Genomic DNA, 6,653 nt, shown 5'->3' with positions numbered 1-6,653 from the left:
ATTGCCCAGTCAGGACTAGTTCAAAGAAGAGCAAGGAGGAGACCACAAATGTGCCAACAAAGAAGAGTATATGCCCCCTAGACTTAGCTATAGAAATTCATTTAGTTTATTCCAAATGCTTGTATTAGTACCTCCTCTGTGCAAGACCAGAGAACAGCCCAGCGTGCCCAGCTCCGGAGCTGCCATTCTTAACCACTGATTGTATTCCATACCAAGAGAGATCAGAACAGAAACTTCACCTGCTACTTTTTCCTCTTGTGAGATATCTTAGTAGCTTCTCTTCTTGAGTTGCTCAGAGCCTGTGGCCAGAGGCCTTGTGTCCTGCCTGTGTTAACAGCCGTTTGATATTAAAGACTGATGGAGGTGGAACTACTTGCTAATCTAGGTTTTCTGGTGGTGAACTTTAGATGAACAATGCCCCTTTGATCTTCGGAAGCAGGCCACAGGATCCTGCCTGCTTGGGGCTTGCTGGGCACAGGCTGTGGAGATCAGTTGGAGGCCCTAAAGAGTCCAGTTTCCCCAGCTGCAGGTTGGAGTAATTTGCATTTCAAAGGCTCTGGATAAACTGCAAAGGAGCACATTGGGGAAAGATTACTTCTAATTCCTAATGACTCAAAAAGGCTTGGTAATCGTTGGCCACCCAGCTGAAGCCTGCCCAAGAGTGAGTTTTAGACTGAAATAAGAGAAGGTAAATGCAGCCAAGCACTGGGGGAAGCACATGGGGAGGTTGAAATGATTGGAAAAGCAAGCATGGGGAACGAAAATCAGAAGCACCATGTTAATATTTTACCTGCATTTTCATCCGTTTTCTTTCATTTCCAATATAAGCTCAGGAAGGGCCTTTTGTAATTATCTGGCTGACATCAGATGAAACCATGGTGACATGGTTTCACAAATGGAGAAACTTTAAAGGCCAGATATCTTGTTTATGGCCAGATTGGTGAAGCTTGATTCAGGATTGGAAGCCAAGTGTCCAATCTCCTAGTCCTGAGTTCTTCCCCTCTACAGCTTAACTATCTGAGGACACCGCAGATATTAGAGCAGGCTGGCCAGTTTGGGTTTGGAAAGTATCACGATGAGACACAGAGGAAGAAGATTATGTGGAAGAGGTCTAGAAATATATGATTACCCTTTCCATTTCTCTTGCTTTGTGTTTATTTTGGAAGTTTTAGAGTTTTCACAACTATGATAACAATATCTATTAAAAGCTTTAGAACCGTGTATTTTTAACCTAGCAATGCATTTGTAGAAATTTATTTTCCAAAAATAATTGAGACGTGCATAGAATTTTAGCCAAAGTAATGATAATCTCAGTCCTTTTTGTTTTTTGTTTAAGCAAAAAAATTGGAAAGAAACATCTAATAGTAGGGGTGGAATTAAGTAAATGTTGATACATCCATGCAATAGACTACTGTGTAGCTATTAATATTAGAGTGACTTTATAGAATGTATTTAATAAAATAGAAAAAAGTTTTACATATAAATGAAAAAAGTAGATTACAGAAGAGAATGTAACACATAATCCTATTTTTGGATAAATAATATATACATGAATGCAAAAATAACTAGAAGTGTATATCAAAATTTAATAGTAAGTATCTCAGGTAATGGGATTATTGTCTTTTTGTACTTTTCTACATTTTTCACATTTTCTAGGTCTGAATATGTATTACTTTTTTATCAAATAAAAAAAACCTATAGCCTTCTCAGAATGACAATAAATTGCCAGATAATATAACGGGACCATTTTTTTACTCACTGCACTTGAATAAAAGTGTGGTCTTTCTACGGATCAAGTCCTAAACACTCTGTAAGAGTTATTCTTTTATCCCATCCTGCTGGGTCAGCCACTTTTCATGTGCTGGTCCTACACTTAGAATTAAAAAAAAAATTCAACTAAATTGTTTGTTTGTTTGTTTGTTTTAAATCACAGACGAATCCCTATCAGACAATAGACAAAAGAAATATGTAAAGCTTTGAAGCAGAGACAAACAAATCATTAGGGATCTTGCTTTGCAAGTTTTAAAATAAGATACATATAACTGTCCCCACTGAGTGACTTCAAAACAAAGCCTGCAGTATCAATCTTGATAACCTTCAGACGATTTTACCTTGCAGGTTTCAAACCAAACAGTCATAAAGAATTTACGAGAGGCAGTTCTGACTATGAGGTCTGAAGCCAACTGTTGCCGAAACAAAACGTGGTTGGGGAATTTGTAGGGTGAGCATATCAACCAAATGAGCACACTTCTGCAAATTCAAGAGGGTGAAATTGTCATGATACGAGGCAACAGGCAGAAATTGAAACTAAGAAGAACTGGGAATTATAATTGACGTATGAATTTTGCTTCTTTCTAAAGGCAGTTCTGTTTGAGAGGCTATGTGGTATGAAAGAGTGATGGAATGTGGGGATTGGATGTGCCCTTGGAAGCCGACCACCAATGCAGCCACCTCATTGCCCGATGGGGAAGCTGAGGTGCAGACTGGGGAGGGCCTAAGCTGAGGCCGCACTAAATTTGTGCCAGAGGCAGCTCCTAACTAATGATCCAAGGCTAAATGCCTTTCAATGATTGTTTTCTGCAAAAGAAACAAAATCCTTTCACCAAAGGCCATGCAGAGGCCACTAAGGCATTCAGACAAGAAGCAGCATGCAGAAGCAGAGAGAGACCTGTCAGAAAGCCTTGGCTTGCATCCCAGCTTTGATTCTGGCTTTTTGACTTGGGAGCAGTCACTTAACCACTCTGAACATCAGTTTCTTCATCTGTAAAGTTGGCAGATGAATTATTATTCAGATTATACATTGACTTTGCTTTTGCATCGTGGTAATACACAGATAACGTAAGATTTATCATTTTCTCTATTTCTAGGTGTACAGTTGAGTGACATTAAGTGCATTCACATCGTTATGCAACCATCACCACCATCCATCTCCAGAACTTTTTTATTTTCTCAAACAGAAACTCCATACCCATTTAAAAAACAACTTCCCATTCTCCCCTCTCCCAAGCCACTGGCAACCAACATTTTTGACTTTCTGTCTCTATGAATTTGCCTCCTCTAGGTACATCATATTAGTGGAATCATATAGTATTTGCCTTTGTGTGTGTGTGTGTGTAGCTTCTTTTACTTGTCATAATGTCTTCAAGGTTCATTCATGTTATAGCATGTGTCAGCATGTAATTAGCATGTAATTCCTTTTGAAAGGCTGAACAATATTCTATTGCATGTACGTACCATATTTTGTTTATCTATTCATCTGTTAATGGACATTTGAGTTACTTACAGCTTTTGGCTACTGTGAATAATGCTGCTATGCACATAGGTGTGTAAATATTTGTTTCAGTCCCTACTTTCCATTCTGTTGTGTGTATACACAAGAAGTAGAATTGCTAGACCATATTGTTGTGCATTGACTATTAAGAGATGCTTGCAGATAGGACCTTGGGCAGGTTATGAAAACTTTTTGAGTGTCCTTGGAATAATAACTCTGTTAGACCCTACCATAAACACCATTTACTATAAGTGATGATAAATAAGATACAGGTTTTTTTTTTTTATTTTTTATTTTTAATTTATGTTTTATTTTTTGAGACAAAGTCTGACTTTGTTGCCCAGGCTGGAGTGCAGTGACACAATCTTGGCTCACTGCAACCTCTGCCTCCTGGGTTCAAGCAATTCTTGTGCCTCAGCCTCCCCAGTAGCTGGGGTTACAGATGCACACCACCACGCCTGGCTAGCTTTTTGTATTTTTAGTAGAGACGGGGTTTTGCCTTGTTGCCCCAGGTGGTCGTGAACTCCTGAGCTCAAGCGATCCACCTGCCTCAGACTCCCCAAGTGCTAGGATTACAGGCATGAGCCACTGTGCCCGACAGCCAGATACAGATTTTTAAAAATGAGCTGGTGCTGCAGGGTTGTAAACAGGCTGGGGTAACCAAAAGCATTTGTCCTTTTGAGTAGGTCTCAGTAGGTCTCCTCTGCTTGTGCAGAATCCACTGTTCCAGAGATTTCACTTCCCTGCCCAAAGTGCCCCTCACTTCCCTCCGGCAGATTGTGCTTCTGGAAAGTTGTGTTTAGTAATATCTTAAACACTCATTATTCAAGGAACCCTGCGGTGGTTCCTTCTGTAAAAGCAAGGCTCTGTTGGTGAAGGAAATAACAAGCTCTAAATGACTCGTAATAAATTAGAGCTTTGATATAAAAAGCTCTGACCTACATGTAGGACTTCACAGTTGACAGAATTCTCTCACCTCTGCTTGTCTGTGTCATCTGGTATTTATCGGGGTGAAGCCGTGAAGGGATCCTTCTCTACAGAAGAGAACGGGTTGAGCATTGCAGTGGAAAATATCACTCTGGAGACCCACGGTCCTGCCTTCAAATTCCTTCCTTTCTACCAACTATGCAATCTTGGCTAAGTTACATCTCCTGTCTGGGCCTCGGCTTTCTTAGCAGGAGAATGGAGACAGTAGCTACCTCATGGGGCTGCTGGGAGGGGTGCCAAGAAGGCTGTTCTGCAAAATCAGGAGCAAGATGTTAATATGAAATCTCAGAAATCATATTCTACAAGTAACTGTTTTTGTGAGAGTGTCAGACCAGCAAAAATAAAGTTATTTTTCCTGCAGAAATGTTAGTAATAAAGGTCTTTTCATTACCATACATTTCTAGCTTTCAAACTACATCCCTAAAGATTACATTGAGCTCCCACTTGCAAGCTAGGGCCTGTTCTTAATAACAAGAAAGTAGAAAATTCTACAAGGAGCAAGATTTTTCAAAAGTGGAAATTGTGATCAGTATAATGTAAATTGTTCCCTAAGCAATGGCTGCCTATATAATCTACAAGATAAAAACTGGAAGTGGTTTTCTCTAGCGAGGGTGGCGGGGGGCTGTCCCTGCCCCACAGGAATCAGGATAACTGCCCTGCCATGTGTTCAGCACTTTAGAATTTTCACATTCTTCAGAATCCCCTAGCACGGTAGGTAGGCAGTGCTGGGACCATTGTCCGCATTTACAGCCTGCAAAACTGAGTTCCAAACGGGTAAAGCCACTTGGCTTAGGAGGCCCAGATGATAGGAGGATAAGAGGTGTCTTCTCTCTCCACCCCAGGCCTGCGGGTCCCAGGGCTAGGGGCGTCCCTTGGCATTCCTATCTCTCTGTCCAGGGCCACCCTGCAGGTCTCCAGTGGGGAACGCTTGCACCCTGCCCAGCTTCAGGCAATGACAGACTGAGGGCAGAGCGGGCCCTTTGGGGGGCTAAGACTGAGAGCTGGGGATGGGTGGTTCTTTCAGGGGGAGACCTAGTTTGTGAAACCATAAAGATCCTGAGTTCATAAATACATAATAACTGTCATTCTAGATGTTTCAGAGCCGATTGTGCAAGAACTGAGGAGGCAGCCACCTGCCTGCAGGCCAGAATGGAATTCCCCAGTGCAGGAAGCAGCCTGGAGAACAAAGCAACCTTATCTCTGGCGAGGCAACTGACGCTTCTTGGGCTCCTGCCCCCTCCTCTGCACATGGCCTGCTCCAGCCTCTGCGGTCCACCATCTGGGAGCTGCAGCCTGGATGGGGGTGGGGCTCCTCAATTAGCTGGTCCCCTAAACTGGAACATACTTGGAAACACCTAAACATTTGTTGAACGAAGGACAGATTCACCCTTTAAGTCTTGATGATTGCCTCTGTAAAATGGGTATAATAATAGGGCTTCATTTGGTTCAGCTGTGAGAGTTGAGTGAGAAAAATCAGCAAAGCAGCCTGGGAATGTGGAAAACATGCTGCCTGTCGGTGGCGATTCTCACTGTGACTGTCATTACAGTGGGAGCAGAGGGAACAGCTTTATCTTCCGGGTCTGCCCAAGAAGGCCTCCTGCCTTGGTGAGCCCGAGACTGGGTGTGGAAGGAAGCAAAGTACTGGATCTTCTGGAAGAGGAAACAACAGCATGGTAGACGGAGAGGACCGTGGGGGCAAAAGCAAGGAGCGGGAGCAGGATGGCGGGGGTCGGGCCAGGATGGCAGGGTAGGGGCAGAGTTGGCAGCACACTGGCTGCCAGGCCCCTTCCTTGGTCTTTATTCAGAGCCAGAGAGAACACCCCTTCATTGTGGCTTCTCCTGAGGCTCAGTTCACAACTCAGGAGAGAAAGTGTACACGCTGCACACGTCAGCTTCAAACTTCTTGCAGCCAAGAGGCCAGCTCGGATTGGAGTAGGCTTCTAATGCTTAATGTGCATATAAACCGCCTAGGCTCTTGTAAAAATGCAGATGCGGATAGCCTGGGGTGGGCCCGAGGCTCTAACAGGCTCTCAGGGACGCTCATGCTGCTGGTCCTGGTTCAGGGACCACCCTTTGAGTATTGGGGCTGCAGACTAGCAACACTCCTGGTGCCGTGGCTCCCGGGATCCACAGTTGATAGAAAACGAGTTATTGCTACATTGTTTGGCCAGGATGGCCTTCCTTCCCTATGTCTCTCTCTCTCTCTCTTGTGTGTGTGTACGTGTGTGTGTACGCATGCACGCTTTCTCTCCGTCTCCATATGCCGCTCTGCTCCTCTCTGGTTGATCTCTTTTTCTGTGATCCCGCCTCCATCCCTGTCTCTCTGGGTGTTTGTCTCTCTGGCTCACCTCCACGGCTGTCTCGCCATGGGTGTCCCCCTGACTGCAGGGTGCTC

At 43.7% G+C, this 6,653-nt stretch overlaps 2 annotated features.

Annotated features, from left to right (window-relative positions):
• Nucleotides 304–828: an enhancer, noted in NCBI's record as "NANOG hESC enhancer chr2:16036078-16036602 (GRCh37/hg19 assembly coordinates)". NCBI's record gives its function as "activates a minimal SCP1, AML or CMV promoter by ChIP-STARR-seq in primed H9 embryonic stem cells {active_cell/tissue: H9 hESC(primed)}" and the evidence as "EXISTENCE:reporter gene assay evidence [ECO:0000049][PMID:30033119]".
• Nucleotides 5,804–6,425: an enhancer, noted in NCBI's record as "H3K27ac-H3K4me1 hESC enhancer chr2:16030481-16031102 (GRCh37/hg19 assembly coordinates)". NCBI's record gives its function as "activates a minimal SCP1, AML or CMV promoter by ChIP-STARR-seq in naive H9 embryonic stem cells {active_cell/tissue: H9 hESC(naive)}" and the evidence as "EXISTENCE:reporter gene assay evidence [ECO:0000049][PMID:30033119]".

The sequence above is a fragment of the Homo sapiens genome, chromosome 2 (genome assembly GCF_000001405.40).
Source record: "Homo sapiens chromosome 2, GRCh38.p14 Primary Assembly".
NCBI lineage: Eukaryota > Metazoa > Chordata > Mammalia > Primates > Hominidae > Homo > Homo sapiens.
This window is presented reverse-complemented; position numbering and strand designations above follow the sequence as displayed.